At 42.1% G+C, this 25,413-nt stretch overlaps 1 protein-coding gene across 7 annotated transcripts in view, besides 2 other annotated features; it reads left to right on the top strand.

The window, feature by feature from the left end:
* Nucleotides 1-23,033, top strand: part of NOL10 (nucleolar protein 10) — a 119,222-nt gene extending 96,189 nt beyond the window's left edge. For all 7 annotated transcript variants that reach the window (NR_048552.2, NM_001261392.2, NM_001261394.2 and 4 more), the window contains 4 exons: nt 4,036-4,209; nt 4,497-4,744; nt 16,049-16,151; nt 21,597-23,033. Coding sequence is in view for 6 of the 7 variants with exons in the window: in NM_001261392.2 (NP_001248321.1) it covers nt 4,036-4,209; nt 4,497-4,744; nt 16,049-16,151; nt 21,597-21,716 (645 nt within the window). In the remaining variant the exon portion in view is untranslated. The remainder of the gene's footprint in view (nt 1-4,035; nt 4,210-4,496; nt 4,745-16,048; nt 16,152-21,596) is intronic.
* Nucleotides 3,395-4,594: an enhancer, noted in NCBI's record as "CDK7 strongly-dependent group 2 enhancer chr2:10729319-10730518 (GRCh37/hg19 assembly coordinates)". NCBI's record gives its function as "activates an origin of replication core promoter dependent on BRD2, BRD4, P300/CBP, MED14 and CDK7 cofactors, with strong dependence on CDK7, by STARR-seq in HCT116 cells {active_cell/tissue: HCT116}" and the evidence as "EXISTENCE:reporter gene assay evidence [ECO:0000049][PMID:35650434]".
* Nucleotides 16,991-18,190: an enhancer, noted in NCBI's record as "P300/CBP strongly-dependent group 1 enhancer chr2:10715723-10716922 (GRCh37/hg19 assembly coordinates)". NCBI's record gives its function as "activates an origin of replication core promoter dependent on BRD2, BRD4, P300/CBP, MED14 and CDK7 cofactors, with strong dependence on P300/CBP, by STARR-seq in HCT116 cells {active_cell/tissue: HCT116}" and the evidence as "EXISTENCE:reporter gene assay evidence [ECO:0000049][PMID:35650434]".
* Nucleotides 23,034-25,413: the final 2,380 nt, after the last annotated feature.

Below are 25,413 nucleotides of genomic sequence, written 5' to 3'. Positions count from 1 at the left end.
TGCCAGCCTTGCCCTCCCCTCCTTGTGGCCAGCACACCTCTCTTGCTCTTGCAGTGCCAGCCTCAGCCAAGCAACTTCTCCGTGGGAAAGGGCTGGGGCCAGGCTTTCCAGAGCTGGGGTGTGATTTTTAAATAGGCTTTCTTTCTGGCTTCCAAATTTTTATTACCCCTATTTCCTTTCCTTTTTTTCTTAAGGGTTTATGCCCTTTTTATAAAGCTCCTTTTCTGTTGTTCTAGTGAAGTTTTAGGAGAGATTAGAAGATACTAGTGTTCAAGCCACCATCTTTACTCAGAAGTCTGTACCAGCCTAACTTCATAGGTATCATAGCATTGAAAGAACTAATTTGATTGGCCGGGGTGCAGTGGCTCACGCCTGTAATCCCAGCACTTTGGAAGGCCGAGGCAGGCGAATCACCAGGTCAGAAGTTTGAGACCAGCCTGACCAACTGGTGAAACCCCGTCTCTACTAAAAACACAAAAATTAGCCGGCCGTGGTGGCGCGTGCCTGTAATCCCAGCTACTCCAGGAGGCTGAGGCAGGAGAATCGCTTGAACCCGGGAGGCAGAGGTTGCAGTGAGCCGAGATCACACCACTGCACTCCAGCCTGCGTGACAGAGCAAGACCCCATCTCAAAAGAAAAAAAAGAAAAAAAAAAAAACTAATTTGTTTCAAATGGCAATCATTCTTCATATATGTTACTATGTTGGAACAAAATAATAATAGGCGTCCCACTCAGGTAGACAGATACCATTCTTCCAGGTAGGACTGTGGTATGAATAGTACTTTAATGTTTTCTATATTTTAATGGTAAAGTTGAGCATGTGTAGACGGGTATTTATAGGACGGATCACTAGCCAGACACTTGTAAGCTCCTATAGAACATTAATAGCTATACCTTATCCTACTTTTTTCCTTAAGACAGCTGTGAAAACAAACAGACTAGGAAAAAACCCTGAGGGAAATATTTTTACAAGCTGGGTCAGAAGAGGTTTTATTTTATAGTTGTTCATCCAAAGCATACTTGTCTTTAGGCAATGCAATTGATTTGTTTTAAATTAAGAAAAAAATCTTAATACCAGCAACATATGTAGTCTTTGTAACATTTTCTCTATTTATTAAATATGATTATTACTTTAATAAATATAGTAAGATGAAAAGTAAATATTTGCCCTTGGGTTTTTTTAACCTGAAAATGTGTAATAGGCACATAGTTATTCATTTGAAATTATCTTTCACACTATCATCTATCCGATATCTACAGATAACTCCAAAATTTACATCATAGCCCCCTCCCTTCTCCTGAGACATGGCGCATCGTTCCCAGACACCTAGTGGTGTCCGTCTGAATCCTGGTGCTCTTCTCCCTGTGCCACAGGCATAGGCAGCCCTAAATGGAGCGTGATTTCTTCCCCTTTACTCCACCCCTGCGTTTTTTCCTAATGCTCTCCAGTGATGGATTCTAACTCAGTGTCGCCAGCTTTCTGGTTGCTTAAGCTACATGTTTGAGAGAAGTTTCTAACCCTGTTTTTAATTCTTAACCCTCCCATCTCCATAGCTGGATCTGTCAATTCTAATTTAGAACTGTATCTCGTAATTATTCTTTCTTAAAAACTGTCTGTTCCCATTGCCCTAATTCAGGCCCTGTCTCTCTTGCCAGTTTCTTAAAATGGCTTCTTAGTCTTCTCATGATGCTAACTTCTTACTCAGCAGTCCGTCAGACATCAGGCTGCTGCAGACTTTTGAAGCACAATTTTGGGTTGGTTTGTTTGTTTGTTTGTTTGTTTGTTTGTGACAAGGTCTCTCTGTTACGCAGGCTGGAGTACATGGTGTGATCTCAACTCACTGCAGCCCTGACTTCCCAGGCTCAAGCGATCCTCCTACCTCAGCCTTCCAAGTAGCTGGGACTACAGGCATGCACCACCACGCCTGACTAATTTTTTATATTTTGTATAGACAGCGTCTCACCATGTTGCCCAGGCTGGTCTTGAACTTCTGGCCTCAAGCAGTCCTCCCACCTCAGCCTCCCAAAGTGCTGAGATTGCAGGCATGAACCACCACCTGGCCAGTTCTGTCATCTGGGAGTCTTGAAGCACACTTCTGTTGATCATCCATCTTCTCCTTCCTCCCTCCTTCCCTGTCTCCCTCCTTCGTTTCTCTTCCTTTTTCTCTTCCTCTTCTTCCTCCCCCTCCTCCTCTTCGCTAGTGGTTTCCCCTTATATCTTCAAAATAACAGTCATGGTATTTAAAATCCTTTACAGTATGACCCAATCAAAAAATTGTTTTGAAATTGCATCATTCTTATGTCGCCAGACTATTCACCACTCCCATCGGCTGGAAATGCTGTTTCTTCAGATTTCTACTTGTTGAAACCTACTCATCTTTCAAGCCCCCTCCCTGATGCTGCACCCCCCAGGGCCCCTCCTGGGGTGTCTTTTGTTGGGATTCCTTTTTCTGTCCTCTCCTGTGGCACTTTCAGCACTACCGAGCAGCCCTCAGAAGAGGCCTAGTAGCACGTGTTTGCAGTGTTTTTTCTTCCTTACTAGTTTAGGATCAGGAACTCGATCTTACCTTTCTTTTTCCCTTCGTTGTAAGTCTTTCTTGGAAATGATGTTTAATCAGGGAAACTTGCTGCATTTAATATCTTAGAATTTTAGGTAAGGGTTTATCTGTTTTTAGGTACATACAAATAATAAACAGGCCAAGTTCCTTAATATCTTATGATTTACTAAACTTTTGTATAGGTCTGTCACACAAATAATATTCAGAACTCAACTGCCTGCAATCTTGTTTACTCTCAACAGTGGAGAAATAGTAAAGTAGTCTGTTCAGCAGAGTCAGAGTCCATCACAAACAGGTCAGCTTTTTCCAGCAGTGTTCAGGGCTGTTTACTCTGATTGACAAACAATTCTGAGTAAGCCGTTTCATCTGGCTTCCAAGCCTGTAGCAGAGAAGGAACAATAAGACAGTCCTAAATGTGTAAGATTCTCTGTCATCTACTTAAGTGAACAGGTAAGTTTACAGTACAGTTTAGAAAACTTTCCATTGAAAATGGTACAAATAAAAAGGAATTTAGTATCAGTCCTGAGCTATCTAAATGGGTCTCAGTAGCCAAAGTTTTTGTATCTGAAGGATACACAATATCCTTTGACAACAATTAGTTGACCTGAGGGGGAATATTGATGAAACAACCCTGTAGGGGATGGAAACGTCCCTTCTGTTTCCCAGTAACTCAGCTGGAATCGGTAAACTGACATCACCAGCTTCCTGCATCCCACCATGTGAGTTACTGACTTTGTATACCTCCTCTCCCAGTTTTGGAATCTGAAGTTGAAAGAATTGCTTATTTTAAGTCAGTGTAGTAACTAAGCTTTATTTAAAAGCCCTGTTTTCAGTGGCTCATGCCTGTAATCCCAGTACTATGGGAGGCCAAGGCACGAGAAATTGCTTGAGCCCAAGAATTCAAGACCATCCTGGGCAACATAGTGAGACCCATCTCTACAAAAAATAAAAAATTAGCCGGGTGCGGTGGTGCACCTGTGGTCCCAGCTACTTGGGAGCCTGACTGAGGTGGGAGGATCACTTGAGCCCAGGAGGTTGGGGCTGCAGTGAGCTGTGATTGTGCCACTGCACTCCAGCCTGGAGTGAGACCGTATCTCTAAAAAATAATAAAAGCCACTTTTTAAAAACCTAGTATCTTCTTGAAAGGTGTTTTTTTGCATTAAAATGTTAATTGAAGAAATTCTTTCTAATCTGTTAAGCATAAAGTTAGCCAAAAGGGTCATTCTTGGCTCATTGTGTGTAATGGCCAAGTGGTGTAGAGCATCTGCAAAGTAGATTAATAGAGGTTGTTTTGGTGGTGGCAGCTAAAACCTAGGGGCACGTTGAAAGTCCTGGAAGAAATTTCATAATGAGTTAATAATGTATGCCTCATGCCGCTTATTAACTTATAATAGAATCAGTGTTTTAAAACCATGTTTCTGGTCAAATTTTAGTCAGATATTAACTTAAATTTTTACGTACTTTTTCCTCCTTGTAGAGTCTTCCTAATATTCTCACCGATGATCGATTTAAAGTTATGTTTGAGAACCCTGACTTCCAAGTAGATGAAGAGAGTGAAGAATTTAGGCTTCTGAATCCACTTGTTTCAAAAATTAGTGAAAAAAGGAAGAAGAAACTAAGACTCTTAGAGCAACAAGAACTTCGTGAAAAAGTAATGTACTCCTTATCAGTTAGAATTTGCTACTGTTTCTTTAATGTAATGTTTTCTTTGTAAGTTAGAAGAGTCTTTGATTATACTTGAGATGTAATTAATTCCATATTAAGTGTTTGACATTGGGCTTAGGAGTATTATCTTATTTATTTAAAGGCATTTCTCCTGATGCATGCAGTAGAGCAGCTGTTAGGCACTCATTAATGGGCCAGTGCTGCTTCAGAGAAACCAAGGGGTCTGTGTTTGACTGGGGGAAAGGAGTTGCTGCTTACTATTTTTATTCTCAGGAAGAGGAGGAAGAGCCGGAAGGAAAACCAAGTGATGCAGAAAGTTCGGAGAGTTCAGATGATGAAAAAGCCTGGGTTGAAGAGGTCAGGAAGCAACGCAGACTCCTCCAGCAGGAGGAAAAAGTGAAGCGGCAGGAACGACTCAAGGAGGACCAGCAGACAGTCCTAAAGCCCCAGTTTTATGAGATCAAAGCAGGAGAAGAATTTAGAAGCTTCAAAGATTCTGCCACAAAGCAGAAACTGATGAAGTGAGTAGCACTGCCTGAGCGCACAGTTGACATGTAACCAAGCCCTTGCTTTTCCTCTCTGGCACATTGCCCTAAAGATGACATTTCTGTCTTTGGATGATGGAGGTGCAGAGGGTGGAGGGGACGAGGGAAGCAGGGGAGGTAAGGCCGTGCAGGAGGTGATGTGAGGGAAGCACCCAGGAGGCCTGAGGGGAGCGTCGCTATTGAAGTACATTGGTCTCTAGGGGATTTACTTATTTGTCACAACTTTTTGAGGTATAGTTTACATGCAGTAAAATACAGGGTAGAGAGAGCCTTATGAGTATCAGTGGAACACTTTTAAGCTGCAGAAGCCACACACTTTCCTTGTCCTTGTTTTTTCCCCATGGGGTTCCCTCACCTACAAATACTTACTCTGTGCCCTACAGATCAGTGGTTTGAAGCCTTTTGGACAGTGGTTGCTAGGAGATGACAACTTTTCTGCTTCTTCACAAAGTTATTTTAAAAAATTAGAACCTCGGTTATGTTTACCCCATCTCACTTTACCTGGTTATTGAAAAGGTTACTTGGAAAATTTGCCAGAAATTTTAAGTCTTTTTCAGGAAAATTGAGAGATCGAAAAGAGTAGTATTCTAGAATAGGCAAATATGTAGAAAGAGGCAGAAAGTAGAATGGTGGTTGCCGAGTGTTTCATGGGTACAGAGTTTCAGGTTGGATTATGAAAATGTTCTGGAAATAGTTGGTAGTGGTGGTTGTACAACAGTGTGAATGTACTTAATGCTGCTGAACTGTCTACTTAAAAATGGTTAAAATGGTAAGTTTTATGTTATAAATATTTACCACCCTTCCAAAAAAATTAACCTTCCCCAAAAAAGGTAGTTTTATTTGAATAATTTTCAGTTGTCAGGAGTCTGAGTCAGGAACAAGCTAGGTGTCAAGCCCAAGTTGTATGTAAACTCTAAATTATGCAAGTCTCTGCTTTGAGAATTCCTAGGCAAAGTATTGATGCACAAGATTGGAATATGATAGACGGTCACAGGAGATGTCTTAAAAGAATAGTGGAATGTCTGGGGAGCCAAGGGAGCAGTCTTGAGGTGGAGCAAGAGGAGTGGGCAGAATAGACAAGGTGTTAGGCTGGGGTCAGTACATTTCTGTACCTTGTACTTCTCCAGCTCCCAGCTCTCCGTGCAGGAGAAGGTGTTTTCTCCGAAGTGGGAGGAGGAAAAGGGTGGGGAGGACATCAGTGAACAGGTGGAATTGTTTCTGGGGTTGAGATATGTTTTATTCATCTTTATTTCACCAGCTTCTAGCAAATATCTGCAACACCAGATGTAGTGAATCCTTGAATTTAGAATTCAGAAGCACCTCAAAATTCTGGTTCTGATGAACTAACTAAAGATATGTCCATGAATAAAGAAGCTAGTAGAGTTGACCCTTGAACAACTCGAGGGCTAGGAGTGCCAACCCCCTGCAAAGTAAAAAATGTGCATTTAGGCCGGGCACGGTGGCTCACGCCTGTAATCCTAGCACTTTGGGAGGCCAAGGGGGGGGCAGATCATGAGGTCAGGAGATGGAGACCATCCTGGCCAACATGGTGAAACCCCGTCTCTACTAAAAATATAAAACTTAGCTGGGTGTGGCGGCACGTGCCTGTAGTCCCAGCTACTCAGGAGGCTGAGGCAGGAGAATTGCTTGGACCCGGGAGGCAGAGGTTGCAGTGAGCTGAGATCACGCCACTGCACTCCAGTCTGGCAACAGAACTAGACTCCATCTCAAAAAAAAAAAAAATATATATATATATATGTGTATATATATATATGTATGTATATATATATGTATATATATGTATATATATATGTGTATATATATGTGTATATATATGTGTATATATATGTGTATATATGTGTATATATGTATATATATGTGTATATATGTATATATATGTATATATATGTATATATATGTGTATATATATGTATATATATGTATATATATGTATATATATATGTATATATATATACATTTAACTTTTTGTGTTATTTATTTTCACTAGAAAGTCTAGACCTAACACATACAACTTTTGATTTCCTGAAAACTTCATTTTTTTTTTAAACCTTCTTGGTGACTGAGAACCTAGAATATCCCCAAAAACTTTACTACTAATAGCCTACTGGTAACCAGAATTTTTAACAGTCAGGGGTCAATTACCACATATTTTGTATGTTCTATGTATTGTATACTGTACTCATACAATAAGATAAGCTGGAGAAAAGCAAATGTTATTAAGAAAATCATAAGGAAAGGAAAATATATTTATTCATTAGGTAGGAGAGGATCATTGTAAAGGTCTTCATCCTTGTTGTCTTCATGTTGAGTGGTCTGAAGAGGAAGAAGAGGAGGGATTGGTCTTCCTGTCTCGGAAGGCAGAGTCAGAAGAGGAGGAAGTGGAAGGGAGGCAGGGGAGGCGAGTAATGGTGTTAACTTTTATTGGAAAAACTGCGTGTAAGTGGAGCAGTGCAGTTCAAACCCATGTCATTCAAGGGCCAACTATAATGTTCTTGGTATCTTTTGAAGGTGTTTTCTTTACTGACCAACCTCACTTTTTAAAATAACCACTTTCTTGAGATATAATTTATGTAACATACAATTCATCTGCTTAAAGCATGCAGTTCACTGGTTGTTAGTAATGTAACATACAATTCATCTGCTTAAAGCATGCAGTTCACTGGTTGTTAGTAATGTAGCATACAATTCATCTGCTTAAAGCATGCAGTTCACTGGTTGTTAGTAATGTAACATACAATTCATCTGCTTAAAGCATGCAGTTCACTGGTGTTTAGTATATTCACAGAGTTCTGGAACTATCACCTTAATTTTAGAACATTGTCATCACCCCAAAAAGAAACCCCACGCCTTATGGGCAGTCACCCCACATTTACCCTACCCCATCTCCCATCCTGAGGCAGCCACTAGTTTACTTTTCTGTCTCTATCGATTTGCCTATTCTGACATCTCATGTAAAGGGAACTGTATAATGTGTGGCCCTTTGTGGCTGGCCTCTTTCCCTTAGCACAGTGTCTTTAATGTTCATCCGTGTTGTAGCATCTATCGGTGTAGTCAGCCCTCTGTATCCAAGGGTTCCTTATCCATAAATTCAACCAATATGGGCTGAAAATATTCAGAAAAAATTTGTAACTGTACTGAACGTGTACAGACTTTTTTCTTGACTTTATTCCCTAAACAATAGTATAACAACTATGCATGTAGCATTTACATTGTATTAGGTATTATAAGTAATCTACAGATAATTTAACATATAGGAGAGGGTGTGCACAGGTTATATGGAAATAACCACACCATTTTATACAACTTGAGCATCCATGGATTTTAGTATCCAAGGGAGGTCCTGGAACCAATTCCCCAGCGGATACCAAGGGACAACTCCACTCCATTTGTTTTTATTACCAAGTAATATTCCAGTGTATGTATAGACCAGTTTATATCCCTTCGTCAGTTAATGGACATCTGGGTAGTTTCCACTTTTTGGCTATTATGAATAATGCTGCTATGAACATTGGTTTATACAGTTTTACATGTGTTTTGCATATGTTTTCATCTATGTGCAAGAATTGGAAGAAATTGCTGGTCATATAGTAACTCTATGTTTAGCCTTTTCAGAAACCGGCAAACTTGTCCACAGGCTGTGCCATTTTACATTCTCCAGCAGCGTGTGCAGCCTCACTTTTTATACAGCTGTTATGTGTAGGTGTTTTACTGGGAGTCCTGCTTGGTTTGTGCTGTTCTGGTTCTGTGGAGTAAGTTTATTTGTTGAGTATATGCTGTTTTTGTCTTGCTCTATTTACTGCTTTATCTCTGGCTCTTGAATAAGTACTTAGAATAGAGTGGGCACTTGAGAAATACTTGCTGAAACTGTGAATCTTTTTTGCCATGACAACACATCAGGCAACTCAGAAGTTACTCCTTCAAGATCTGCTGAGAAAGGACTCCTTTTCCCCATAGCCATTGACCAGGAAAATCTGGGAGCAGTTGTTTTGAGTGTAACCACAGCAACAGGAGGCTGTGATTTGGGGGTAGGCGGTCTGACTAATCTCTCTAACATTCTTCCTTTTGCCTGGGGGCTGTAGTAGGATATGGAGGTATAAAACAAAGAGGATAAAAATTTGTATCTAAGAATAACCCATAGCGAGGTGAATAAACTGCAGTTAAACATTCTAAGTTAAATATCACCAAGTTAAACATTCTTACTAAGTTAAATATAACCAAGTTAAACATTCTTACTAAGTTAAATATCACCAAGTTAAACATTCTTACTAAGTTAAATATCACTAAGTTAAACATCCTTTTTGAGAACTATATAAGTGATAATATTTACATGAGTATTTGGTGAAGCATTAAACCACGATCCTTCAGAGAACTAAAGTGACTCTGTATGTTTATTCTGCAAGTTACCGCAAGCCAGTCAACAAGAGACAACATCAGATTGAATGTGTTATATTTAAATGTTCACTTGGACTTGCCTAGCTTTAAAATGTTTCTATAAAGGGAAAGGTGGATCGTGAATGGTAGCTGGAGACTTGAGTGAGCTGTCTGCGTTGCTTGGTGTGGTCATATGGCTTTAGATAAACACGTGTGTCTGTTGACACATATTTTTATGCCTTACAGTGGGCTAACTTTGTTTGTGAGTCTGTTCATCCACTTATCAGCCTCTCCACCACCCATTCATTCATCAAGCATTTATCAACTGCTCAGTGCGAGCATACCAGCATTCTAGACCCAGGGGATGGGAAGAACGACATGGCCTGCGTACCTGAAGCGCTCATGGGAAAGGAGCATAAGAAGGAAGGAGCTGAATTTGGGGAGCCTTGAAATCATATGGAAACTGGTTGTGGAAAGATGCAGAGTGGAGCATTCAGGGCTGGTGGGAAAGATAGCATTCCTGGCAGAGGCACGGTGCAGCCACAGGCAGGCCATGCGAAGGGTTGGGGGTGCCTTCCTACAGCCAGAGCATGGGGTGCCTGAAGGGGTAGCCGAGCAAGCACTGGAAAGCCACGATCTTACAGCTTAGATGAATGGGATCCAATCTATTCCAACCCCTCCCCTAGTGTTGTAAATACTTTTGTAATAAAAGCAGTGCATGTTTGTTGTAGCAAATAAAAACATAGGCATAAAAAGTCCCTATTCCCAGAAACCCATTAGCAGAATATCTCCATTTTAGAAAGACAATGTGCGGAGAACCTGGACACCCAGAGACCAGCTCTCAAACCATTAGAATCATCCCAGTTAGAAGGGCCACAGGCCTGAACGATGGGGTGGAGAGGAGCAGACAGACCAGAAGACTAAGAGTGAGAAAGAAAAAGGAGCACAAACTCCACCATCAGTTCCTAATAATATCAAAGGAGAAGGGAATAGTCAGGGATGACGTAGAGATGTCTAGTAATGTTGCCATTGAGGTAAAAAATACAGAATGCAAAATAGGTTTAAGGCTAAAAGTAATGAGCTGGGTTTTGTGCACATTAAATAAAGGAGCCCATGCGTCTTCTGTGTCACATTCAGTAAACCAATGGCAGTGTCCATCGGGCCCAGGAAGAGGAGGCTGGAGATGTCAGTTTGAGAGATACCAGCGTTTATTGTGTGGTCAAGATCACGAATGAAAAGAGATTTAGCGTCATTGTATAAAGTAAGATTAGGGCTAAGAATGGAAGCTTGGGGAAAAACAAATATTTTACTTGAATCTGTGATAAAATCCATACCATACACCTCTCTAGAGAAAAATACAAATGCCTGTGATGTATTTACATAGAATTTTAGAGAATTCACAGATGTACTGATTGCCTAGAACTAAAAATTCTGTTAGAAAGCAGACAGAGGAGAAGATGGACAGTAAAGATACTGGAGTTGTCAACAAGCTGAGAGGAAAACTGGAAAGGGCCAAACCTGGAGCGTGTCTCAGGGAAGGGAGTGGTCCTGACACCCATCGGAGTAGAGAGGCCCAGGAATGAAGGCTGGGAAAAGGCCAGTATGCGGATGGCCTCACTGGCACTCGTTTCTCAGTCCTGCCAAGTGGCCAACTGCAATAGAGACACAAGTGACTGGGAGATAGAAAACACAGTAAACAGTTAGTGTCGGTGAGTCTTTCAAGAAGTTTGGTAGTGAAAGAAAGGGATGAAAGCCAATAACTTGATGGAAAGCGGTTTATAGACTTGAGAGATGTGATTTGTTAGTAGGCAGAGAAGACTCAGCCACAGAAAGTGGGTAGTAAGGAATGGAGAGAATTGAGTCAGTTGATAAAGTGGCATCTGGTAAGGAACTGGGTGGCAGTGGGCCCGAGTACCAGGTAAGGAGAGCCTCAGAAAAGACAAGGTATGCATCCTCAGAGACATGGAGGAAAGAAGTCCAGATGCGTGAACATAGGGGACATCATTCTGGTTAGAGGTAGAAAGATTGGGAAGGCCATGCTTGTTGGCCTCAGGAATCTGGGCACATCAGCCTTTTCTGGTATCTGGAGCAGCCATGACCTGCAAGGTATAGGAGTGGAGCTGTGTGTGTTGGTGAACAGTGGAGAAAGAGAGTCCTTAGAATGAAAACTCTCCACGTTTCAGTAGATGGGGATAACTTCTCTCCTTGGGTAGTCAATATTAGCTGCCAGGCAGCCTTTCAGTTCCATTTATGAAAGCATTCTTTGAAGTACCTGCCCTGTGGTAGGTCCTAGAAATTCAAAGATGTTTAAGACAGTCCCTGCCTTTGGGGAGCTCATCTTCTTCACCGGGTAGCTTGGTAGCTTTGGGTGAGCTTTTTATCGTGTCTGCAACATTATCCACTTTGTGAATTAATATGGCATGTTTTTACTCTTCAGCTCACATTCCTCTGATAGTGGATAAGAGCTGAGGTAATGCAGCTTTGTTTTAATATAAGCATTTAAAAATCTAATCTGGAAAGTAATTAAATTCCAGGCTTACATTTTTAAAAAGAGAATCTTGTATTACTCAAGGAATACGTCCTCAGTACTATGTAGGCATGTTATCATTGTAACACTTAAGAGTGTGGGCTGAAGGTTAAAGCCTCTCCTGTCCCCCACCTCCCTCCCTGAGGTCATGGCTGTGTGTGCACCACACTTCTCTCTTTTAAAAAATGCATTCATTCCCGTATGTGTTCACACTCACACATCTATACCTGTAGCTTTTTTTCTTTAACATGAATGGTTCATACTCCTCATGTTATTTTTTGAGATGGGTCTCACACTGTCGCCCAGGCTGGAGTGCAGAGGCGCAATCATGGTTCACTGCAGCCTCGACCTGCTGGGCTCAAATGATCCTCCCACCTCACCCTCCTGAGTAGCTGCGACTACAGGCCACCACATGCGGCTAATTGTTAAATTTTTTGTCCAGATGGGGTCTCATTTTGTTGCCCAGACTGGTGTTGAACTTCTGGCCTCACAACATCCTCCTGCCTCAGCCTCCCAAAATGCTGGAATTGCAGGCATGAGCCACTGTGCCCAGCCTAATTATACTGTTTTAACTTGCTCTTTTTGTTTAGCAGCAAGTCTTGGAAACGTTTCTTTGTACGTACAGTAGGCTTACCTTCTGGCTGCATAAATACTTCATAAGGTGGGTGTGCTGGGATGTATGTTGTTCTCTGACGATGGGTGTTGAGGTTGCTGCTTTTTCTCTTTCCCCTTTCACAGTCGCAAATGTGTGTATGCACACGGACAAGTATTTCTTTAAAGCGTATTCCTAGTAGGAGTTTGCTGGATCAGCGGGGGTATGCGATAAGAGACTGCCAGATCACCCTCCAAAAAGGCTTGAGCACTTTGCACTCTGGCCAGAGCGCCTGTTTCCCCACACTCCAGCAACGCCGGATATTAAGAATCTTTTACATCTTCGTTATGCCTATAGATGAGGCATCAGATTTCGTGGTTGCCTGAGTTTAAGTCTCTTGAAATAGGGCCTTTGAAGCAACACATGGAAACGGAAAGCATTCAAATAAAGTTTTTACTAAACCTTATGGCATATGTAAATATTTGTCAAAGGTAGTTATTTAAAGCAAAGTACTTAAAATTAAATTTAAAAAATACTTAATCCTTTATCTGTGGATTCTCTTTCTCCATTTTCTAGTTTATTCCCTCCGGTGTAGACTATGGAGTGAGGGCTCCTTTAATTAGAGTTAATTAACTCTTCTCAATTTTGTCCTGAAGCACATGCCTTTATGAATATGACCTCCACCCCCACACCGCCCCTTCCATGCAGCGGGATTCAAAACCTCTCATCTGAGGAGCATTGAGTTTTAATTAAATATGTGTGTGTGCGCGTGTGTTCGTATTTTAAAACCCCAAAGTAAATTAGCCTCCCTGGTGCATCTAAATATTTAATTTGATTTTCTTCCTAGTAGTTTCTGCCCACTTTCCTTTTTATTTTAAGATAAATTTACTAATAATTTAGGTTCTTCCCCTGGGAGCCTTCTGCATTCTACACTGAGTAATTCTACCCACTTTCAACATTGTAAAGCCTGTATCTATTTTCTTAGCAATCACAAGTTTGGGGATTGTTTTTATCTGCTTGTTCCAATTAGATTTTCCCCTAGAATCCTTTACTATACACCAGTGAAAAAGTCCCCCATGGCTGTCAGACCTAAAGTAAAGCCTAGGCAGGGAAAAGAAGCAGGGGCGGGGCAGGGAGCGGGGGAGGGGAGAGGAGGGGGAGGGAAAGGCCAATTCTGCCATCCTCCTCTGCCACCTGCCAGTGTCCTGGAAGAAACATGCTGAGAAGCGCATGCAGTGTGGTGTTCTGCCTTTTGTTTTTCTGTTCAATAAGGAATTTTCAGGTGTTCCTACAGCAGTGTCTACTTAGGTCATCTCTGACCGAAGTCACACTCAAGAAGCAGGCTGTGGAACTGCTGGGTTAGCAAACGCTTTCAGTAAACTGACTTTCAAAGGGAGGGAAGTGGAACTTCTTTAATGTAGAAACCTCCACACACGGTCTCTGTCTGTGTCTGATCTTCTGCCATGGTTTGTTCCAAAACTCAGCTTGTCTTTCCAAATAGCCTAGACAGAACAAGTTTTTACAAGTGCACATTGAAAGTACATTGAGAGAAACCCCAGAATGTGTATGCCCTATCATGGAGGAAGTAAGGTCATTCTTAACAGAGTAATAATTGCTCACAATTTACTGGCAAAGTCTTTTTCTTCCTAAATTAGTGTTTTCTGTATACCATCTTCTCTCAGTGGTTCCATAGTTATTCAGAATTCCTGTTAACTTTTTTTTTTAAGTGAAAGCAAGTTTATTAAGAAAGTAAAGGAATAAAAGAATGGCTACTCCATAGGCACAGCAGCCCTGTTAACTTTGAAACCTCAGAGTTTATAGCTATGAAAAGAAAGAAGAAGAATGACATGAACAGGTTGAGGGATTTGCTGAGGCTCACATAATTCACATGCATGCCAGAGTCCGTTTACACTTCACTTTTGAATTGTTCGGAAAAAAAAAAAAAAAGCTAACCGAAATCTTCATTTCATTCCGTTTGTCATGTGGAAGCTTGTCATTGAGAATACTTAATGGACAAGTTTCCTGAACAAAACTGTGTAAATCAAGTATGGCCTGACACTTGCCTGGAAACCAGCAATTCTGAAATTGGAATCCTGCTTAGAACTGAATCCTTACGTGGCCTGCAGCAAGTCATTTCACATCTTACCTCCCTTTTTTGCCATCTATAAAGGATAAATACTTCTGTCTCAGGGATGTTGAAAGGATTAATTAGTTAGTCTATAAATAACTTTGAAGATGAAAAGTACTTTAAAAGTGCTTCTTAATAACATTATTGCTTAGAAAAGAGTGCCACTTTTATGCTAACCACTTTATGTCTCAAATTATATAAAGAAGGTATGTTTAGTACATTACTACGAGTTGTAAACTAGAGATAAATTTCACATGGTGTGAGCATCAAACATTAGCTTCAGAATTTCAAAGAAGCATCACTTTGTCTTAAGGATCATTTAGGAGCTGTGCTCTCAGTAATTAGTTACAAAGATCATATTTCAGGGAAAAAAAGACTCTTTCACACAGTTCAGCCTTTTTCTTTCTTCAGTCAGGTTTCTTAGCCATCACTTTAAAGGGCTGCATTGAATTTGATCTGGGGCAGGGAGGACAGGAGACAGTATACTATTTTTGAGGAGGGAACAGAATAGAAGAGAACCATATTCTTTGTCTTCCCTCGCATCTCTCTCAATCTTATCAGGGGGATAGGAATCTATTGCTTTAGCCATTTCTAGAAAAGTTAGAGTAACTGTTTAAACTTACTGAAAATATATATCATTAGGCTTAATTCAGTTTATTTCCCTCTAAACCAAGTTAACAAAAAGGGCCAGTGTTCTAGTTTATAATAAAACATTATAACTTGCAGTGAAGTTTCATTTTATAATGGGTACAAAATTCAAACTTAACCTCTTTATTGGAAAGCAGAGGGGGATTGTGTTAATTACACAGATGACAGTGAAATGCAGGGCACAGCAGACTGTAACAGAGACACAGATTATATAAAGAGAGCCTAGAAAAATTTGGAAAATGTGATCAAGAAATGAAATGAGATTTAAATTTGGAATAAAGTATGTCAGAAAGAGTAAGTCAAGTAAGAAACTAAAAGGAAAGGTACCTGGAGAGATAGCAGTGGCTAGAGCTGAATCAGGTACAGTTACCCAAAGTGTAATTGCTTTTGTTTTCTCTCAGCGTCATCAGACAGATTCATGTTTCAAGCTGTTCATGCTGTGGGATGATGGCTTGCAGTCTACGGAGTTAAGACTGAGTGAAGGAAAAACGAGAATTATCATAGCTCTTCTCTGTGGCTTGACCTGGAGGACTTAATTTGTGCTCATTCCTTTGTAAAAGGTGGACGAGTGGCCAAATTACTCACATACCTAATTTGTGTATTGTTTAAATATATCATTATATCATAAATGCCATTGACCATTATGATCAATTACAGGCTTCAGGAGTAGATTGCTCTTTGCATTTGGTCTTCAGAAATATGATTGATTTTAGTAAGAAAAGTAGCAGGCATTGAAGTGTTTGGTCCTGCCACTTAAGATATTAAATTAGTGGGTGTTTTTGCCAGCCATTGTTTTACAGTCTATCTCTGGAATATGAATAATGACTATTTGAATGCACCTAATTCTTTCCATTTATTGTGTTAAATGAATGATATTTTCTGTTTACATGTGTAAACATTTTTCTTCGCTATCAATTCTAATCAAAACTTGTTTCAAATGGTAAATTAAAACATAATTTTGATTAATGTGGCATTCTTTTGAATTTCCCATAGCAAAACCCTTGAAGATCGTTTGAAAATTGAAGCAAAAAATGGGACATTGAGTGTATCCGACACCACCGTTGGCAGCAAACAATTGACATTCACGTTAAAGAGGGTGAGTTGTCTTTTATTGTTATTTTTTAATTCACAAAAGAAAAATAGCCTTTCAATAGTGTTTGTGTGTGTGTCCTCAGAGCAGCCTTCTCAATGCTTTTCCCCTATTGAGGAAGCTGTGTTCCCTGTTCTAACATTTTCCTTGCAACCAGAGCCCCTGGTGGGCCAAGAGCACAGTGTGTGACTGCAGCAGAGCCAGGAATGTCACTGGTGTTCCAAGGGAGACAGGGAGTTAGTGGCCCTGGAGTTAGCTCTGTTGGAGATGAACCAGCCGTCTTGGTTTCTGGATTGCTCTGTAGCCTCAGGTGCGGCTTATAAAGCAAAAGTCCCATCCTGACCCTCTAAAGATGTAGGGCTACTACATCCTGACCCTCTGAGGATGTAGGGCTACCTCGCATGTATATGGACTTTGAAGAAGACCGGGAATTGGCGAGTTCTGATAACTTGTGACAGTCACACCCAGCTTGCCCAGATACTATCATTTTAGAAGACAGACTACTCTGCCCGTGGTCATTCTATTCTAAATTGATTTATAAGATCCATTTTTTTTAGCCAGTGGTAATAATACCTGTCACATTGTAGGAGGAGTAAGCTGCTTAAATATTTACTGTTAACTGGATACAGTTTTATTTCTCAAAAAATTTTTTTCTCATTCAAAGTCAGTCCTCTTCAATATAGTCACCAAATAGAACAGAATGACAAAGATTTCATCCCTTTTTTTTTCCTTAAGCAGTAGTAGGGAGATTATTCTTTTTTAAAATTGAGATATAATTCACAGACCATATGCATCCTTTTAAAGTGTACAATTCAGTGGTTCTTAGTGTATTCACTGAGTTGGGCAACCATCACACTGTGTAATTCCAGAACATTTTCATCACCCCAGAAAGAAGCCCTATACCCTTTAGCATTTACCCCCATCTTTTCATCCGCCAGCCCCTGGCAACCACTAATCTACTTCCTGTCTCCATAGCTTTGCCTGTTCCGGGCATTTCATACAAATGGAATCATTCAATGTGAAGTCTTTCATAGCTGGCTTCTTTCACTGAGCATAATGTTTTCAAGGTTTATTCATTCAGTGGTGTAGCTTGCATTGGAATTGCATTTCTTTTTATGGCTCAATAATATACCATTGTACGTATATAACACATTTTGCTATTCATTCGTTTTTTAAGGGACACGGGTTGTGTTCTTTTGGGGTAAGCGATTAATAATTGGCTGTGAAAATGAATGTATAAATTTTTGCATGAACATGTGTTTTTATTTATCTTGGGTCTATACCTAGGAGCAGAATTGCTAGTGTAGCTATTTAACTTTTTGAGAAACCTGTCAGACTGTTTTCTGACAGTGGCTGCACCATTTTACATTCCCACCAAGCAGCGTATGAGGGTTGCAGGTTTTCCACATCCACACCAAACCTGTCTCTGTCGGTCATCTTTATTATAGCCATGCTAGTGGGTGTGAGTGGTGTGTTGTTTGATTTGCAGGTCCCTAATGACTAATGAGTTGAGCATTTTATCATGTGCTTATTGGTCATTTGTGTGTCATCTCTGGAGAACTACCTCATCACATCCTGTACCCATTCATCTCTGATTTCTCTAAAATTTTCCCAACGTGCATCCAGGAGGCTTGCCAAGTAATAAAAAACTTCATTATTCTAAGTGCAAAAAGCTTTTCAGTTAATTCTGTCTGCTGAGAGCAAATTTGCCCTCTTACATTTATCACTTACGTAAGCCAAATACACATTCAGAGGGACCTCATTGTGCCTGTTCCTAATTTCTTATCAATTTTCTTTATACCTGGAAACATTCGTTGATTCCCTCTGAAACTCAAGTGATGTCAAATGGGGCAGGAGCAGCACAGCCTGGAAGGATCCCAGGTCTGCAGCACAGCCACCTCAGCTCCTGCAGAGGCCCCTCTGCTGGGTTGAGTGAGCACCTACCTTGCAGTAACATGAAAATACAAGCCTTTTCCCACTGTTTCTAAATCGGGAGGTACTGAGTTGAAGATCAGTTTAAAATTTGTAGTAAAATGAAAATAAGATGGCTCTGAAATTATATTTTTGTTTATAAAAAAAGTATTAAGAATTGCTTTAAATGGCCTCATAACTGAATCAAGCAGAGGCTTTGAAACTGTTTTGAGGACTGTGTCAATTAATGTTTGATGTGTGTGTTTCCTTACTTGACAGACATTTTAATTATTAAATCTCAGTTTTACTTGAGTTCTAGTTTACAGTAAACTTTACTTATTCGGGCAGTTGTTCATAGAAGTCTCTTTTTATACTGCAGGTTAGATATGCTCAGGTAGAATCTTGAGTTTTTCCTATGTTTGCATATGTACCTCCTAAAATTTCAATAAAATTGAAGAGAGAAAATCCATGCTTTAATGTCGTTTAAAATTGTATAGTGGCAAAACTGGGATTCAGTCACAAATCTAATTTTAAAATGCCATTTAGTACAGTTCCTCATCAAGCCTGAGACTGTTGCTGATACAAATGTGCCTGTTTGCACCTGTCCTCCTCCTCCCTCTGTGACAGGAGTGCTGGAGGCTGTGGTGAAGTAGTCGGGAAGAGGAGGCAGAAGCACCCAGGAGAAGCGCTAATGGCCCATAGATCCTATCCTCCTGAATCCGCCACATGGCGGCAAGGCCTTCCAGATGCCGCCTTGGGAGAGAGGCTAGTCATAGTCCTTTTTCTGCATGGAAATTTGTCTGCAGAACAATAGTCACTGCTTACAAGCTCCTCTTGAAGCTCCTACCTTGGTGGAGAAAGTCTGGCAGAGCTTCCCAAAATGTGTTCCAGGAGATGTAAATGGTGACTCTGGAAGATTACTTTTGCCATCAGACAGATAAGGGAAAAACCTTGGACTGATGTCCATGTTGAAGACTTATGAAGGTACCTTAACTTAGAAGCTCCAACACACACACCTTGTTTATCTGTATTTAGCACATGATTTTCCAAAATTATATGAAGAAACCCTTTTTTTTTTTTTTTTGAGACAGAGTCTCGCTCTATTGCCCAGGCTGGAGTGCAGTGGCACCATCTCTGCTCAATGCACGCTCCACCTCCCGGGTTCACGCCATTCTCCTGCCTCAGCCTCCCGAGTAGCTGGGACTACAGGCAGCTGCCACCATGCCCAGCTAATTTTTTGTATTTTTAGTAGAGACACGGTTTCACCGTGTTAGCCAGGATGATCTTGATCTCCTGACCTCATGATCTGCCCATCTCAGCCTCCCAAAGTGCTGGGATTACAGGTGTAAGCCACCACATCTGGCCTGAAGAAACCCTTTTTAAATAAACCTAAACCCTGATTAACATGAAGAATCGAAATATTGAGTAACTGGTGTTGGTTCACTTTACAGGGCTCCTGGTGGTGTCATCACTTGCTCAGCTAGGGAGTGTTAGAAGGAGTTCTGAGTTTTCCATTAACGCATGTGTATTGATGCCTGCCCTGTGCTGCATGCTAGGGACAGACATGGCTCTTGCCACCACAGTTCTCAGTCTACTGGGAGAGAGAGACAGCGGGTAAAAATTATACACCTCTAATTATATCATTAGAACTGCGGCAAGTGCTTCAAAGGAGAGCAGAGGGCTGTGAGAGTGTTTGGTAAGGGACCAAACTTTGCACAGTTTCAGTAAGCACAGGACTGAACTGACATAGTATTTCTATTTTTTTTAAATCCTTCCGGTTGCTGCATGGAGAGTTGCCTCAAGGGATATTTGAAAGGAAGCAGAGCACGAGGAAGGCAGCTCCGTGGTGGCCATGCTTAGGAGCGGCAGCAGCCTGGGCTTGGGTGGGACCCTTTGAGACGGAGCACAGTGGAGGAGTTTGGGACGCACTTCAGAAGAATACACAGGACAGGATTTACTTTGAAAAGACAGTTGAAGAATAGTAATAGTCAGAGAAGGGACTTAAGAATTATGCAGAAACCCGGTTTAAGAACTTATTAGAATGGGAGAAATGCATCCTTTTTTTTTTTTTTTTTGACATTACAAATTGCTTTCCTTCCCCGCTATTCTCTCACTTGCAACTCTTCAATTTTAGAAGAGTGGGTAATATCCACAAGAGGTGAATCCACTGGACACTTTCTCCTCAAGGGTAACACACAGATGCATGTGTTTTGTTAGGTGTGTAGAAAATACAGATCCTGGCTGGGCACGGTGGCGCACGCCTGTAATCCCAGCACTTTAGGAGGCCAAGGTGGGTGGATCACAAAGTCAAGAGATCGAGACCATCCTGGACAACATGGTGAAACCCCATCTCTACTAAAAATACAAAAATTAGCCGGGCGTGGTGGCGGGTGCCTGTAGTCCCAGCTACTCTGGAGGCTGAGGCAGGGGAATCGCTTGAATCCGGGAGGCAGAGGTTGCAGTGAGTCGAGATTGTACCATTGCACTCCAGCCTGGCAACAGAGCAAGACTCCATCTCAAAAAAAAAGAAAATACAGATCCCAGAGAAGCAGGTTCCCTGGGTGTCCATAAGACGGTGCTTTTCCGCTTTATCAACTGAGGCCCCTGACAGTGCTTTCTCAGTTTACCATGTGTGCAGTTCCACCGCTAAGAAATTTTTTTTTTTTTGAGCTTTACCTTCAGGAGTTTGTATTTTCAAAACCATCAAATGTGTTTTTAAAACCGTGTAACTCTTAACCTTTGTTGTGGATTCTGCACTGATGCTCTTCTAAGAATTTCTGCTGAAAGTAGTTAAACCATTTGGCGCCAGGGATGGGGTAGGGAGGAGTTCCAGCTCCCATGTGAGCCAATGAGCATTGAGGACAAATGTGAGCACCTTTCCAGCAGTCAGCCCGAGAGTCCACATGGTTATTGCAGCTGTGAACGTGTGCATCGTCTGCCTGGCTTTTATCAGTGATTAATGAGAGCAGTTTGCTGCTTTTAAGGAGAAGTGGAGTTTTGGGAAACAGCTAAAAATTCTTTGGAGCAAGTTCTAGTGAATGAATGCTTTAATAACGTACTTTTAGTACATTTAAGTATTTTTTGTTTTTAAAAACAGTGGGAATAAACTAATGGCTCTAGTTTGTAAACAAAGATCTCTAAAAGGAAGTGGACACTCTAAGTGATATCATCTTCTTAAGGTGGCTCTTGTGTAGGCTCTTTTAAAACATCCCAGTGGTTGTGTGAGTGTGTTGGTTGAAAAACCAGTCTCCTACTTTGTAGGAGGCTGGTCTGTCAGGGCCCTTCTCTTGCCTGGGGTTCAGAATTTCTGCTTTTGCATTGATGGTAAAAGTTGGCCTTGGTCCTGCTGTTTCTGCCAGGGTAGCATTTGTCAGAGCAGAGTCCAGGCAGCCCCACCATGTCCCCTGGAGCCTGTGGGCAGCATTTCTCCTGGCAGCAGTTCTGAGATTGGTGGTGGTACTGTTGGCAGCCTGACGGTTACCAGAAAAGAGGTATAGAATTTTCTCTCTTTCCCTCTACTCATTTCATTTTCTCTTTTAGTCTGAACAGCAGAAGAAGCAACAGGAGGCTGAGAAACTGCATCGACAAGAAAGGAAAAGACTCCGTCGTTCGGCCGGACACCTGAAGTCAAGACACAAAAGAGGACGGTCGTTTCATTGATTTGGGAAGTGGTCCTACCTGTGATTAGGGAGGGGTACGTCTCCCCCAAACTGATCATCGTTAGGGTGTTAAACACAGACGAGGAAACACACGTTTTTAAAGTTCATGTACGTTCTTGTACACAGAGGTAAAGATTTGAAAACCTGTGCCTTGTGGGTTGGACTTTGAAGCTGGCCCCGCCGACGGCCACCGCACAGCCCCAGGGGTGTGCTTGCGAGTCGTTGCTCCCTGGAAACATTGTCCTTTCCCCACGGCGTTAATCATGAAAACCAGGCTGGGGTTTTTTTAATATTGTGAAATGTACACCATGAAATGAAAGGTTTATCCTGTGCCAGAAACCAAGGTTTATCATGCTCTAGGAACTTTTTTCTTACACTGCCTACCGCCATTCATGATTAAACCATCCAGAAATACCATCCCTGTTTTACCTGGTGTCTGTGTATTGCCTGTGTTTGTGTTTATAAGTTTATGCTGATAGGTTTGTTCGGCTTGTTTATGTATTAGTTTGGGATTTGTTTTTAAATAATTTATACCAAGAGAGTATAATCTAATGGTGCAGGTTGAGAGCATCCCAAATCCGAAAATCTAAAACTGTTTGAGCACTGTATTTATCTGTTCTTGCACTGCTATAAAGAACTACCTGAAACTGGGTAATTTATAAGTAAAGAAAAGAGGTTTAATTGACTCACAGTTCTACAGGTGGTACAGGAAGCATGGCTGTGGAGGCCCTGGGAAGCTTACAATCGTGGCAGAAGGTGAAGCGGAAGCAGGTATGTCCTGCGTGGCTAGAGCCAGAGGAGGAGGGCAAAGGGGCAGATGCTGCACACTTTCAAACACCAGATCTCCAAGAACTCACTAACACAGAATAGCAAGGGGGAAGTCTGCCCCCATGTTTCAGTCACCTCCCTCCAGGCCCCTCCTCCAACACCGAAGATTACAATTTGACATGAGATTTGTGTGGGGACACAGAGCAAAACCATATCAAGCACTGACATGACATTGGAGGAAAATGCTCATTAGAGCTTTTCAGGTTTTGGATTTTCAGATTTGGGATACTTGACTAGTAAATATAATACAGATATTCCAAAACACACAAAAAAACCAAAGTCTAAAAGACTTCTGGTCCCAAGCATTTCAGATAAGGGATACCCAACCTGTAATAATGGGAAACAAGCAGTAGAGGCTGTTGGTTAATCTTGGCACAAGTTTAATTACAGGTTTTTTTTTTTTCCTGTTTCTTAAGTACAGTCAAACATAAACTTACTGGAGGAAACATTTATAAAAATAAATATACTTTCATTTGAATAGCTTCTTTGAGAAAGACTCCAAGAAAATTTTTTTTTCATTAGTCAAACGGTGGTGTGCACTTGTAGTCCCAGCTACTGAGGCTGAGGTGGGTTGCTTGAGCCTGAGAAGTCGAGGCCAGCCTGGACGACAGAGCAAGACCTGCGTCTCAAAAAAAGAAAGAAGAGAACCAACTTTGGTTTCCTTAGTTTTTCCAGCTTTGATGTGATTTTGGAGGTGCCTTTATAGATTTTTAAGGTTCTTTATATACAACTGAAATAGTAACTCTTTGGACTGTGAATGATACAGCCTAATTTCGAATAGCATAAGCCGAGAGGCAGAATGCATTAATTTACATCACCATGCTTGGGACATGGAACTGGCCTCAGGAACACCTAGATCCATGGCTCCACGGTCAGTCAGCTAGCACATGCGCACTCTATCTCTGTTTCCCTCTTTCTCTCTCTCTCCTTCCCCTACTCCCTCCCTTCCTCCTCCTGTCTCACCATTGTTCCTTCTCTCTTCAGGCCTCCCCTGCTGTCTTTTCCCTATGTGTTTCCCGTCCCCCTGCCTCTGCTCTCTGTGCTGCTTCTGCTTCTGTGCAGATTGGCTTGTTCCCAAGGCAGGGAACAGCTCAGCCATGTGTCCACTTCTGTGGTCCGAGAAATGAGGTCTGTTTACAGAAAAAAGGTGTGTGGAAGGTGGGGTATGTGTGTATGTTCTTGTTCCTGGGGCACCCAGCCCCATTTGTGCTGTGGTACCAGGGAGTCCTCCAGCTGTTCCAACCCCTGGACCGGTACTGTCCTTTTTCAGCTTCTTTCCCCCTAAACTCTTGCTCACTGTCCACCTCTTCTCAAAGGAAGTGGCTGCAGCTTCCTGTTGCCTTCTCTTCTCTGTTTCTACGCTGCCTCCCTCAGGGATGGGGGGTTTTAAAAATTTAGAGAGGGACATTTTGCTGGCTGGAATGTCCCCAGGGGTTGGGTGTTTATGCCCTTGGCCTGTTTCCTGACGTCAGGGTCTGTCACGTCTACTCCTGGCTTTCCCAGGCCCCTCTTTTCCTTCCTTCTTGAAGGGCCTCCTGGTTCTGTGGGGAGCCGGTATTCCGCAGGGCCAGATTCCACAGGCAGCGGTGCTCTCTGTTCACCCAGCACTGTCAGCACACCAGGAGGTCAGGACATCAGGGTAGAGGAGGAGGGCCAGGATCACTTCTGGGCACCTGGGAGGCTGGCAGTTTAGTAGAAAGAGCTTGCATTTGGAACCACCCTGACACAGGGTCGAATTCCAGGTCTGTTGCCTACTAGTTCTGTGTCTTTTGACTGTTGCCTTAATCTCTGTGAATCTCATTTCCTCCTGTAGATCAGCCTAATACTTAGTTTTTATTAGAGTAAAATGAGGCACTTACATTAGGTACAGCACCTGGCACTGTGCAAGGCTCATGAGGATTTGACAAAGCTTCTTGACCATTGAGGGTTTTCAAGAGCAGGGGAGGTGACCTCGGCTTTTGTTCTGGAGAGTTGCTGAAGGGCAGGCGGAGGGACTGCCCTGAGTCTGAGGGACACAGAAGGAGTGTCCGCTGACGACAGCTATATGGGTACTCCTCCTAGGCCTGACCCGTCCCTCATTGCCCCAGTTTTCCTACCGATTCAGCCCTTAACGCAGGCCTGCCTCTTCAGGGCTGATTCCCAGCGTGCCTGCTCTAATCCTTCATGTCTTCGAAGTTTCCTGTTTCCAAGTTTTATTCAGCTTTCATACTCTACTCCATAATTTTTCCGTGTGTGTGATATACTACTCACTAGTCCTAGGAAATGGCCATTTCCCATGGGTCTCTGTCCCAGGCACGCACAGCTGGGGGTGTTCATGAGCCAGTGCGAGAAGCATTTCCTCACAGATGGGGCCCCGAGGGCATGGCTTTTACAGCGGGACTGAGCTGGGGGTTCCTGGGCTGCCATTTCTCCCCTTCCCCTGCTCCAGATCCCCTCAGCCTCTGACACCCCAGACCTAAGGCCCAAGTTTGTTTATTTGTTTCCAAGTTTGTGCTCAGCAGTTAGGATAATGGTGGCTTTGGAGAGAGGGGGGAACATGGCTGGGAGGGACGTGATGGGGGATCCTGTTTGGTCTTGTTCCCTCACCTGGTGGTGGCTTTTCCCACGGGCGCACTTTGATCACTCCTGGGCTGCTCACGACTCATGTCTCTTTCTCTGTGCTTGTTATCCTTGAACACAAAGTTTCATTGAAAAAGAATTACTCGTGTTAGCCAGGATGGTCTCGATCTCCTGACCTCGTGATCTGCCCCCCTCGGCCTCCCAGAGTGCTGGGATTACACAATGAAACCCTGTCTCTACTAAAAATACAAAAAATTAGCTGAGTGTGGTGACAGGCACCTGTAGTCCCAGCTACTCTGGAGACTGAGGCA

The sequence above is a fragment of the Homo sapiens genome, chromosome 2 (genome assembly GCF_000001405.40).
Source record: "Homo sapiens chromosome 2, GRCh38.p14 Primary Assembly".
Taxonomy (NCBI): Eukaryota; Metazoa; Chordata; class Mammalia; order Primates; family Hominidae; genus Homo; species Homo sapiens.
The sequence above is the reverse complement of the archived record's forward strand: the minus strand, read 5'-3'. Positions and strand labels throughout refer to the sequence as shown.